General features: G+C 45.2%; 1 protein-coding gene across 2 annotated transcripts in view, besides 2 other annotated features; it reads left to right on the top strand.

The window, feature by feature from the left end:
• The window catches only part of TNR (tenascin R), a 428,402-nt gene that overhangs the window by 330,499 nt on the left and 84,647 nt on the right, over positions 1 to 13,256 (top strand). For both annotated transcript variants that reach the window (NM_001328635.2, NM_003285.3), the window contains exons 3-4: positions 6,320 to 6,881; positions 9,481 to 9,957. In NM_001328635.2, the coding sequence (NP_001315564.1) occupies positions 9,877 to 9,957 (81 nt within the window). In that variant the 5' untranslated portion in view covers positions 6,320 to 6,881; positions 9,481 to 9,876. The remainder of the gene's footprint in view (positions 1 to 6,319; positions 6,882 to 9,480; positions 9,958 to 13,256) is intronic.
• Positions 141 to 190: an enhancer, noted in NCBI's record as "active region_2137". NCBI's record gives its function as "activates an Ori minimal core promoter by ATAC-STARR-seq in GM12878 lymphoblastoid cells {active_cell/tissue: GM12878}" and the evidence as "EXISTENCE:reporter gene assay evidence [ECO:0000049][PMID:35858748]".
• Positions 12,245 to 12,773: an enhancer, noted in NCBI's record as "NANOG hESC enhancer chr1:175369460-175369988 (GRCh37/hg19 assembly coordinates)". NCBI's record gives its function as "activates a minimal SCP1, AML or CMV promoter by ChIP-STARR-seq in naive H9 embryonic stem cells {active_cell/tissue: H9 hESC(naive)}" and the evidence as "EXISTENCE:reporter gene assay evidence [ECO:0000049][PMID:30033119]".

The following is a 13,256-nucleotide window of genomic DNA, read 5'->3' as shown; positions in this document are numbered from 1 at the left end:
CAGAGATCGTGCCACTGCACTCCAGCCTGGCTGACAGAGTGAGACTCTGACTCAAAAAAAAAGAAAAAAGTGCCAAAGACAGGCCACCTGCAGAACAGTCAGCATTCTTTGCAATACAGAAGAATGGGAGGTGGCAGTAGAGAATAAAGCCAGAAGTGAAGTTTTCAGGGACACAAGAAAGAAAGCCACTTTGAAATAATTAAGTGACATGAGCTTAGCAACACTACAGGCACATTGATTAAGCAGGCATTTAATAAACATTAGTTTCACTTCCCCCTTCAGCAGGGCTCAGAGAAAGTGAGAAAAGTGGAGCACCTCATGCCATTCATTCTATCTTCTTTCTCTGCCTTCCCCTAGAAAAGCAGCACAGGAGAGAAGCAGAGAGGTTGATGGTGGTGTGACAAGGGATGGATTATCATCCATCCCTTGGGTGGAGCTGGAGTGCGGGACACATTGGGGGATCTCAGAGAAGTGAATGAAGCCAGAGGGAGTCCATGAAAGGCCATGGGTTTCTGTAACTGCTGGCTCGGTGGAGAATTGTTCTGGAAAAATGACAAGTTTAGAAAATGTCACCCAGCTCCTCTAGGATCAAGGTTTACTGGGTTACAATTGCTCCTGATTTGGGGGACACTATAGAGGCTGGAGACTTTTAAATAAAGAGCCATCAAACAAGCCTCCTCTCAAGGAGGAGAGACTGAAGCAATTTCTGGGGAGATCTCTTGGATTGGTGGAGAAAACATTAATCTCAAAGTCATCCCTGTCAGGAAGTCCTAAATCTGAACCCAGGGGGAGAAGAGTGTTGACTTGTAAGAGCTCTAAGTCTTTTCATGAAATTAGTATGAAGACCCTAATTAAAGCTGGCTGGAAAACAGCCACTAAGAGCACAGACCATGGTCAGCAAAATCTGGGTTCAGTCTTGGCTCATCTGCCCATTAACTGCAATCTTGGTCAAATCCTTTGGCCTTTCCTGAGATTGATTTTCTTCATCTTAAATAATGGAGATAGAAAGAGGACCTACCATCACAGGAAAATCACCATAGGGCCCTGCTGGTTGTCTGCAGCAAGTCTGATTGACTGATGCCCCATTCTGATTGGTTGCAGCCCAAACCATAACAATCGCTAAATATCTTGACTCCTAAATATCACTCTTCTGTAGCTTATAGGTTGCTGTGAGAAATAAATAAAATAATACAAGGAAAATGCTTAGCTTGACCCAATTACTACTAGTATTTGTTATGGGCTGAATTGTGTCCCCGCTTTCCAAAGAAGACGTGTTGAAGTCCTAACCCCAGAACCTCAGAATGTAACCTTATTTGGAAATAGGGTCATTGCAGATATAAGTAATGAAGTTAAGATGAGATCATACTGGAGTAGAGTGGTTCCTCTAATCCATTGTGACTGCTGTACTTTTAAGAAGACAACTATATGAAGAAACAAGGAGAATACAGTGCACAGACAGAGGCACAGACGGGAGTGATGCACCTACAAGCAGAGGAATGGCATGGGATGCTAGCAGCCACCAGCAGCTGGGAGAGGGGCATGGGGCAGATTCTCTCTCAGAGACCTAGGGAAGAATCAACCCTGCTGATGCCTGACTTTGGACTTCTGCCACCAGAACTATGAGAGAATATAGTTCTGTCGTTTTAAGCCACTCAGTTTGTGATTATTTGTTACAGCAACCCTAGGGAACTAATGCCATATTATAGTGGGTTAGCTCCTCAAAACCCACTAAGACCAAGAATTTATAAAGTATCAGGAAAGAGAAGACCTCAATGTTCGTTCTAGCCCAATCGCTCATCTGATGCTTAACATCCCCTCTTCAACACTCTCATTAAGTTGTGTTTCCGCTTGTACCTGAACACTTCCAGTGACCAGGAAGTCACTACTTACCATGACACCCAGGTAACTTTCATTATTAGCAATGCTAGTCTGTATTTTGAGCTAAAATCTGTTTCCTTGTAGATTCTCCCATTTGGTGGAAACCACTTCCCTGGGACCTTTTGCCATATACTTAGCATTTTACAACCCTTCAAATATTTGCATTCATCGAACAAGCCATGCTCTTGCACATATCATAGTTTTAGCAAATGTAAGTTCTTCTGTGTGAAATGAACTTTGGCCTTCTCCACCTAAAGAATAATCCATTAAAGTCAAGTTTGGTATTATCCCCTGATAGGGTAGGTTACGTGGTGGGAAAAAGCAATCCCCAAATCTGGGCTTCAAACACCAAAAGATTATTTCTCACATGACATGTTCTCACATGACATGTCCACTGTGAGTCAGCAGGAAACTCTGTGGTCACTCAGAGGCCCAGGCTGGCAGAGCAGAGCAGCCACCATCTTGAACTCTGCCAGTCACCTCCAGAGAGAGAAAGCTCTAGGGTGTCTCCCATCAGCAATGTTAATGTACCAGCCCAGAAAAGACACACACCACTTCCTCTCACAATTCATCAGCCAGAACTAGTGCCATGGCCTCACTTAACCAAGACAGGGCTGGAAGATGCAGTCCTGGAAAGCCAGGCCAGAAATATTTGGCAAACGACACTGATGGCCACCCCACCCACTTTGCGTGCCCCTCCCTGCAGCCCCCGGCAGAGTTGCTAGCATCTCCTCCAGCCTTCTCAGAGCAGCTGATGTATTTGTTAGCCATGGTAATTATCACATTGCATTGTCGTTATATTGCTTGTGTTTTCATCTCCTCCATGAAAATGAGAGTTTCTCAAGGACAGGTTAGGGCATAATACATGTTTGATATGTGGATGCATTTGAGAACAGTGACCATCTATCCAGTGTAAAAGCCAAATAACTTACAGGGGTTTACAAGGCTGGGCATGACCTGGCCCCCACTACTTCTCTGACCTTATCTCCCCACAGGGCTCCCTTGTTCATTTGGCCCCAGCCACACTATGTCTCAAATTCACCAGGCCGGCCCCTGCCTTAGAGACTCAAACTCACTGTTCCCTCACTATCTATTCAGCTCACCACCCCACTTCTGTCGGGTGTCCTCTCAGCTGTCAGCTTATCAGAGAAGCCTGTCCTGACCATGCCCTATACAATGTCGACCTGCCCTGTTAACACCCCTGCTCCCTCCATAGCAGTTACCACTTCCTGACACAAACACAAACTCATGTGTGTTGCATTATCACATATTAAATGTCACATAATTTCTATTATATAATACATTATGTATGACATATATAATTGTCTGTGGTATTTATTTATATGCCCAACCCACCCACCCACACACACTTGAATGCAACTTCTATAAAGAAAAAGACCAGCATATAATAGGTACTTAATAAATATCTGTCAAATGAATGAATGATAAATGAATAAATGTACCCCCTGAGTCTTCACATCTTTGGGCCAAAATGCTAAACTTTTCCCTCTCATATTATAGGATTTTGAGTCCCTTCAACATCCCAGGCACCTAGAAGTGATCAATAATCAGTGCAGTAAAGAGTAGAACAACATAGACCCTTGTCTATCTTTTATCCTATATTTTAATTAATAAAACCTACATTTGAATAAGATTTCGGTAGTTACAAAAATCACACCGTTGACCAACTCATAGCAAGTTTAGTTATCGACTAAAGTATTTAGTGTTTTTTTACACATAAAGCTGTACCTTTCCCCCTCTATGTAATTTTGTAGCTGTCACTTTGGACCTAAAAGTGTAGGACCTAACATTTTTCTCTCTTAATTTCCCTGTCACTTGTCTTCCTTTTCGTTGATAATGTCATTTATTCATTCACTTATTTTGAGTGTCAACTATGTGCAAAAAAGCTGTTATGTGCTACGGGGTGTTATGTGATCATTTTCCAATTCCCAGAAGAAAAAGTTATTTAGCAATATCCACATGGATCAGATAAACAAACTTGGATTCAATAAGAAAGATAGCCAAGACCCCGTCTGTGTGTAAATGACTGATAGCAGAGCTGTTTCTGGAGACTTTCAATGATAGGAGGGTAGAAGTGATGCTCAAGAAAGTCACGCCTAGGGATCCTGAAAGTGAGAAGGCGAGTAGAGCTTTGGATGAGAGGCGGCTTTAGGAGCTTACAGTTAGGAGGGCAATTTGATTCCAACATGTCACTCTACCTATCCCCAAGGTTTATTTACCTTGTCTGGAAGTGACCAACAGATCATCATTTCCCACATTGCTCCAAGGATCTCACCCATCTTTGGATAAGGCTGTGTTAAGGATTGGGCTTTTCTGCTGTCCACAAATGGATAACACATTTCATATGTTCCAGTGATTTCAGGGAAGTCCTTGACTAGGGGAAGAACTGGAACAATTATTCCACTTGTCTGCAAACAATATTTATTTATGTTAGTTAATGCCAGGTTCTGGGTGAATATTATACAGATAATAATTCCATTAGCCCTCCAACCTTGTAAGATAAGTACCATTATTATCTCCACTTTATAGATAGGGAAACTGAGGCACAGAGAGCTTAAGTGATCTTCCCACAGCTAGAAAATGAAAGAGCTGAGGCTTGAACCTAAACAGAGACTCTATAGGCTCCAGAGTCTATAGTCTCAACAGCTCTGCTCTGGTCTGCTCCCTGTCCATATTGGAAGCAGGGACAGACTATAGTCTAGTATATAATGCAAGGGCTGAATAATAAGGCATGATTTTATACTAGGCACTAATACAGGTTACTCCTAATAAAATCAACCCTCAGGCATTTTTTTCAGAACTGAAATGGAACAGACCAGTATCTAACTTGAGGATAATGGAGAGGGATTAAATTAGTTGGAGAATGATTTAACCTTTTGCTCACTGAGCATTTTCTCATGAATTCATCTTTCCATCCTTCCAGGGATCTACTTATCCACTTATTCAACAACTATGCACTGAGCACTCTCGCCGTCCTGAAGCGACGGTCACACATTGCAGATAAGACACGGTCTGACCGACAAGGACTTAGCAGTCCAGGTGGGGAGAAGCAGGCAAAGGAAACCCACGGTCTAGCATGGCAAGTGCTGTCAGAAGTGGGGCCTGGAAGAGAGGGACATGAATTCAGCCTGCATTTGGGAGAATAGCAGAGGAGGCAGGAGGGAAAAGATGAGAGACAAATGCTTATGGAGAAAAGAACATTGAATCTGACCCTAGCAAAATTTTCTAATCGCGATATTCCTGGGAAGATCTTAGAAATTACACAGTTTCCATCAAAGACAAGAGAAAATTGAACACTCTTTTCAAGAAAAGCCCTGGGACATAGTAATTGATAACACAGGTTTTGGAGTCAGACCTGCATTCAAATCTTAACCTCTCTTGGAAGAACTTCCTCCATTAGAAGATGGGGCTATTCATAGTGACCCATCATAAGGTTGTCCTGAGGGTCATGTAGACTCCTGTGTGAGGGGCACAGCACAGTCTGTGCTGAGTGCAAATACAGTAAATCCTAGTTGTGACCTTCTTCTCCGACGAATAGTCACACTCACTTGGTCCCTTAGTCCTTAATCTTCTTAGTAGCTCTAACTTTTAGAACCAAGTTTTGTAAATCTCTTTTCTGTTTTGCATAGAGAATACAAAAGGAATAAAATTTCTGTAAAACTGATTTGCATCCCAGTGAGTTTATTGTACTCTATGGTTCTTGGTGACTAGGTAACCAGCAGAGGAGCTAATTCATTATTTTACCAATTTAAACAGGAACTTGGAAGAAAAGCACCTGGTGGTCACAGAGCATGAGGACTATACTGACAAGAAGATTAAAAGAAAGTTCAGCTCACACAGCCCTAGATAATCACAAATGTACCCAAGGTTTATTAACAATCACAATTACCTGGAACTATATTATTTGCCTGGCTGGTTATTCTGAAGACAATTTGTATGGATAGATGAGCTGAGAGGAGCTCATGAAGTTATTTTGAAGTGGCTGGCAGAGTCCCTTTGCAATAAATATCTGGGGAAATAGGAGAGGACACCCAAGGCTCCCTGGTCCAATTTCTCACCTAGAAGTGAAAAGAAACTCTGAGTTCTCCTCAGAGGAACAGCCCATCCACAGGGCCCCAGCCCCCAGCCCTCATGTTTCCTCCAAGAACCATTTGCCCACCATGGGACCAGACCTGTGTGTTCTAGATAAGCCTTTTGAGAAAACAAAATAGTATGCAGAAGCAGTGTCCATTTTCAGGGGTCCAGTCCTTTAAGGAACAAAGTCCTGGGCCTTTATGACATTGGCAGCCACTGTCCCTTCCTGACGCCCCCCCCTTGAAAATCTCTGGCTGCCTACTCCTGAGCTTTGTAGGCTTGTGCAGAGCCATGGTGCCAAGGCATAGGTCTCAGAGGTTGTCTCTTTCCTTGGTTTCCGTTGCAGATTCCCACAACTCCATGCTGTGTGCTGCAGGCTGGTCCTGAACCCAGATCTCTGGCTGAGAGGATGGGGGCAGATGGGGAAACAGTGGTTCTGAAGAACATGCTCATTGGCATCAACCTGATCCTTCTGGGCTCCATGATCAAGCCTTCAGAGTGTCAGCTGGAGGTCACCACAGAAAGGGTCCAGAGACAGTCAGTGGAGGAGGAGGGAGGCATTGCCAACTACAACACATCCAGCAAAGAGCAGCCTGTGGTCTTCAACCACGTGTACAACATTAACGTGCCCTTGGACAACCTCTGCTCCTCAGGGCTAGAGGCCTCTGCTGAGCAGGAGGTGAGTGCAGAAGACGAGACTCTGGCAGAGTACATGGGCCAGACCTCAGACCACGAGAGCCAGGTCACCTTTACACACAGGATCAACTTCCCCAAAAAGGCCTGTCCATGTGCCAGTTCAGCCCAGGTGCTGCAGGAGCTGCTGAGCCGGATCGAGATGCTGGAGAGGGAGGTGTCGGTGCTGCGAGACCAGTGCAACGCCAACTGCTGCCAAGAAAGTGCTGCCACAGGTAGAGTCCGGGAGCTCGCAGCGTGGTCTCAGGAGGGGAAGGAGAGGGCTGAGCAGAGAGGGAGAGTGAACAAGAAGGACCAATGCACTTCCAGCGAAAACGCACTCCCAGCAAAACCCCGGCATCTCTTCACACGGTCAAAGGAAAAAAGTGTCCTAGTCTGTAGCTGCCGGTTAATATGTCTCTAAGATCTAAATGCAGTTCTTCCCCGAGGGATTCAGTTCAGGGATTTTCTACACTGCATAGCCAGTTTGAAATACATTAACCTGATTTTGGGGGGATGAGTCAGGTAATGGTTCATCGGTTCAGCACAGCAACTTCGATGGCGAGCAGGGAATTTGATGTCTGTCTTCTTTCATCTTTGGTTTTCACAGGCTGTTGAATTGATATCTATCCATGTTAACCTGAGGGACTAGAGAATGCAGACGCTCTGTTCACTCAATCGCAGCCTTTCTCCCATCTGAGTAGATGATAGTCATTAAGGTCTCAGAGGACCTATCCCCATCTTCTCCAGTGAGATGGAAGCTTTAGCCCCTGCCCCCTCAAAAAGCACACAGAAGCGTATGCACACACACACACACACACACACACACACACTCTCACACACACATACTCTCTCTCTCACGCATGCACACACGCATGCTCTCACACACAACACACTCACACAACTTAGTGCACCCTCCAAAAGGCTGAAATCTCAGGGGATTTACTTCTAACATTGCCCACCCCCTAATTAGTAACCCTTGTGAGTTACCTTTACCTCTCTGCAAGACATAATTAAGTCTTCAGAGTCAGAATTCCCAAGTTCAGATCCTGGCTCTACTGCTTCCTAGCTGATGACCTAAGCAGTTCCATATCTGTGCCTTCCTTTCCTCATCTACAAATGGTGCTAGACTAGAGCAACAAGAAGTTATTAACAATAAAAGCACCTATTCAGATGTCAGCCTGGCTTCTGTAAGTAACGTATAAGCAACAGCTATTATCGGCTGACGCCAATGAGTGGGAACTGTATCTGTACCCCTTTGTGCACAGGTTTTCTCTCCCAAAAGGTACCTTAGACCCCATGCAATTCAGTTCTTTGATGACAAGAGGCATTTGTCTTGAGTTCAAGCACTCACCTCTATAGGATCCATGATCTCAAGGCTTTCACGGGGATGAAAGCTGGAGGTGGCAGAGTGAAATTTTAACAGAGCCTGGATGGCCCGCAGATGTAGAGGGGTACCTGACACATTCACCCTGAGACACAGCAAGTCTAGAGGCAGTCACTGAGGACTAAAATATTTCATGGGTTCCTTTCACCTCCTTCTCCTCCCAATAACCAACACTATAAATAAAACAATCTGCAGAACAGAAGAGCAAGTCCAGTTCTCCTGTGCTTCAATGACAATGGTCAGGTCAGCTTGTCTTTTCAATGGAGCAGGAGAATAGGGGAAAGTCCTAGGTTTCCATGAGCATGGACTCTGCAGCTCAGGAAGCTGGGGCTTCTATAAGTGAACTTTTTGCCAGCCTTCCACCAGGATCCCTGGCAAACATGGGAAAAATCTGCAAGGAAGAGCTAAGTTAAATAATGTCAGTAAAGTATATTTTCATGGGGGCGGCATGAAGTGGCAGAATTAAACAAGGATGTAACTTACTAGACTTCATATCCTCAAGGCCAAGTGCAAAGAAGGATGCCAGCAGGTACTCCATTTGTATTTGTTTAATACGTTTACTTGAATCATGCTAGGCAGATAAATTAACCACTGTAGTTATCCCACAGTAAGGTCTAGGACAGAGACATGCGTAGAATCCCAGAGGGGTCATAGCAAACAGTAACTAAATGAGAGTGAGGTCCTGGGGAGCCTTTGAAGTAACCATGGAGCTGGGTTTTGATGAATGAGCAGAGTGAGTCAGATGGCAGGCAGGGAGGGAGCGAGACAGGTTTGTAACACATAAGACCTTTCTCTGCACAGTGGACTCAGTGCTCAGCCTATACCTCCTTAGGTCCCTCACAAAATCCCATAGCCAGCACCTGGGCATCCTGGTGAGAAGGCTGTCCTCAGTTTGTTGGAAACTTCTTGGGCTGCCCAGAGAGAGAATGAGGGGCTGGGGGATTCGCATGCCCTCAGGGACATAGACCTTAACCCACAATGAGATGTGACCTGCACTGCCCAGAGCACCCTGCAGAACTGAACCCAAGTGACTCTTCTGGAACTTGGCTTGATAATGCACCTGGGCTTGAGCACGTTCCCTTCCCAACTTTCCACTCTTCCCTACCAGTTTTTTCTGGGAACACCTTCCAATAAATCACTTTTACATGAATCTTTAGCAAAGACCTACTTCTAAGGAATCCATCCTAAGACACCTTAAAGGTCAGCTTCTGGAGGACAAGGGCCCAGATCTCATTCATCTTTGCCCCCAGCCCTGTGCTAGGCACAGACAGCCCATGCTAGGTGAAAATATTTATTAAATTGAATATGTACCAAACTACGTTGAGCTTCACTCTCAGCAACAGAAATCTGGTCAGAGAATGAGTAGAGAGGCCTTTGCCCATCCTTCCCCAGCACCATTGACAGGAGAGGCCACTGCTGCTCTTTGACCTTCTCCTTGACCATTCCAGGACAACTGGACTATATCCCTCACTGCAGTGGCCACGGCAACTTTAGCTTTGAGTCCTGTGGCTGCATCTGCAACGAAGGCTGGTTTGGCAAGAATTGCTCGGAGCCCTACTGCCCGCTGGGTTGCTCCAGCCGGGGGGTGTGTGTGGATGGCCAGTGCATCTGTGACAGCGAGTACAGCGGGGATGACTGTTCCGAACTCCGGTGCCCAACAGACTGCAGCTCCCGGGGGCTCTGCGTGGACGGGGAGTGTGTCTGTGAAGAGCCCTACACTGGCGAGGACTGCAGGGAACTGAGGTGCCCTGGGGACTGTTCGGGGAAGGGGAGATGTGCCAACGGTACCTGTTTATGCGAGGAGGGCTACGTTGGTGAGGACTGCGGCCAGCGGCAGTGTCTGAATGCCTGCAGTGGGCGAGGACAATGTGAGGAGGGGCTCTGCGTCTGTGAAGAGGGCTACCAGGGCCCTGACTGCTCAGCAGGTAGGCAGGGGAACTCTCTGGGGTGTTTGGCAAGGGTGGTCCAGCAAACTAGCTGGATGCCTCCAGTTAGCTTGGGAAGAAAGATGAGTGAGAAAGTGAAGTTTAGGCAAAATAATTCTCAATTGAGTTGTACTCATTTGCTTTCCAAGAGAGCTGAGTTCTTGAGTCTTGATGAGGCAGATTAAAAGGGATAAAGAGTGGAAATAGGAAAAGGTCAAGTTCAGGCTGAGAGCTGGATTGTTACCCCTGAGACTAGGAAAAAGGTAGTGGTAACAATGATGACAACACTTCATTGCCCTTGAGGTGGGGGAGGGTAGACAGTGAAGTCATGGGACCACCTTAGGCAAGGCCATTCTCTAACTCTGAGGGATCCCAAGCGTTCCACCTGCTCAAAATTGTCTCCCTCACCAGTTGCCATATTCCAGGAATGCCTTCCACAATGCTACTGCAAGAGATGGTGGTTGGTCTGTGAGGCTCTCTGATTATCTTGGAGCTTACAGATTGCAAGATGTTATTAATTTATGAAGTGATTCCAGTGGGGCAGAGTGTTTTTAGACAAGGACTTAAATCTAAACAGGAATAAAGTACTAAGGACATTGGGCAACAGCTAACATGCTAACAATTAGTACAGAATATTAAGAGTATGACTCACTTTGTTCCAGATGACTATCTAGCAAATTAGAACCAACCCTATGTATAGTCTACACTGTCAAAGCTGATAGAAGGATGATGTACTAAAATGGGGATCTAAACCCAACAGTGAGAAAAAAAAAAAAAAGTATCTCATTGGGGCTGATTCCCTTTTTTTTTTTTTTTTTTTTTTTTTGAGACGGAGTCTCGCTCTGTCGCCCAGGCCGGATTGCGGACTGCAGTGGCGCAATCTCGGCTCACTGCAAGCTCCGCTTCCCGGGTTCACACCATTCTCCTGCCTCAGCCTCCCGAGTAGCTGGGACTACAGGCGCCCACCACCGCGCCCGGCTAATTTTTTGTATTTTTAGTAGAGACGGGGTTTCACCTTGTTAGCCAGGATGGTCTCGATCTCCTGACCTCATGATCCGCCCGCCTCGGCCTCCCAAAGTGCTGGGATTACAGGCGTGAGCCACCGCGCCCGGCCTGATTCCCTTTTTTATGCAAATCAGATTATGTTTATTATTTCACTATAGCTCATCCTCTTCTGACTAAATCAGTGACTACTGCTCATACATTTGTTTATGTTTTAAACAGTACAGATTAAGTGGTTGGTCTTTTCCATTCAGGGCTCAGAGAGCCCACTGGGATTATTTAAAATAAAAAATAACAACAAACAAACATTTTAAACCTTCTAATGGAGCAATTTTAGGAATTTGCTGATAAGTCATGTGACATCAGTTTAAGGGGGAAAGCCTGGTAAGCCGGATTCACCAGACTTCTGTAAGCCAGAGTTACTCACTCCTACGTGGCAGGCAATGTTCCCGCACATGTAACTTCAACTTAAATTATTTTCAAAAATCAATGGTAATAATGAAAAGAAAAACAACAATAATGCACTGTGCTTAGGGAAAAAAATTTAATGTTCCTTAATTTTTTCCATATCCAATTATTTCATTTAGCCTCCCAATTTTGTTTACTGAATTGAAATATCTTTCTAAAAATATTGTCACCACACCAATTATCCCAAAGTGAAATTCAAGCAGAAGTTAAGCCTTATTGTTTCTGAATCCAAAGTCACTAGGCACCTTCTGGGAAGCCAGGCTGACAAATGGCTCCAGTTTCCATCCAGGGGATGAGGCTCCATGAGACCCCATCTGGAGGACACCCAGGGTCAGTGTGGGCCATCGCTGTGTTAATGCTATTCTGTAGCGCACATGCTTCTTAGTAGACTTACTCTTTGGCGGTCTGGACATACCTGTCATATTCTTGACCCTGCCTTTCTACAGGGATAGGTTCATTTGCAAACAAAATCTTGATCTAATCCAGGACTTACACTGAACCCTCCTGGCTACCTCAGGGAAGACTCAGCAGCTGCTAGCATAGCTACAACTGGGTTGAGTCCAAACTATGAGCACGTTACCTCTGACATGGTACCTCTGTGCTGCTTGAGGAACACTTCAATAGGCCCAGATAAATTACTTTACAGGTTCCCAAAGCATGTGAAGAAGGACAGTTGCATAATCTCCATCTGTTTCTATAGCAACCCTAGAGCCACCACTCATTTGCAGGAGGTCTGCTCTTAAGGCCTGCTTTTTAAACCAAGTGCTACAGGTCTCTTCCAGAGAAGTATCTAGGTCATTATCTAAAGTGCTCCTTTGCTTGCTCTTTGTGAAAAGACTGTAGGAGAAGGGGCTATTTATCCACTGTTTGACGTTCCTGGCCGGGTGCACACACCACAGCACGATGTTCCCATTGCCCATGGGACTGAGGAGAGGAGAGAGAAGGGTTAGGAAGGTGAAAACACTGAGAGCCACAAAATATACTTCGTTATAGGGCATTCTTTTCTCTTTGGCAAGGGCGTAGAAAATAGCTGCCCATTGTGTGGATTGCATTCTGAGGCCCCCTAGGTCTGCAGCACTTAAGCACAATTGAATAGTGTTGCCAAGGTCACTACTTTTGACTCCTAGCCTTGATCTATCCTCATAGTGTGCCAAGGGACAAAATCTCAAGACTTCTGCCTCCATTCTCTGCCCATGTACAGATAATAGAACAAAACATTCATGAATATGAGAACTTAAAACAGGCCTTAGAAAGAAGCTTCTCATTTTACAGATTTAAAAAGCAGCAGTCAGTGAGACAGATTTTCCCAGAGCCAGACAGCTAATTAATGGCGGAGTAAGAAAAAGAATCCTGGTCTCCTACCAGCTTCTAGCACTCTTTTATCTTCTCTGGAATGCAAAGTAGAATAGAATTGAAAAATAAAAATTTTAAAGCCATATACACAAAGAAGTAGCCTTTGATATGAAAGCTGAGCTCCATCACATGATTAAAAAAATGAGACGTCAGAGGTAGGGTGGAAAAGCACATTCAACCATTTGTCCACATCTGTCCCCAGTGATGGTGGTTAGTGCTGGGGCTGGCCAGGGAGCTGGCCAAAACTCCCCCGGAGCCAGCAGGATAAAAGAACCATCAGAACAGGGTCTTGAGACAATCCAGAAAGCTGTTTCCTGGACTTCAGTCAGACCTGCGGAGATTCATCAGTGTCAGCCTCTGCTCTGTCAGGACTGCAGCCAGCCCAACCTTTGGCACCCGAAACCACTTACTCTTTGGAGTAAGACACATCATGGAACTAATTCCAACTGCTCTCACCACATAAGTGCAACATTTAT

Source organism: Homo sapiens, chromosome 1 (genome assembly GCF_000001405.40).
Source record: "Homo sapiens chromosome 1, GRCh38.p14 Primary Assembly".
Taxonomy (NCBI): domain Eukaryota; kingdom Metazoa; phylum Chordata; class Mammalia; order Primates; family Hominidae; genus Homo; species Homo sapiens.
Note: the sequence above shows the minus strand (reverse complement) of the source record. Positions and strands in the feature narration are given on the sequence as shown.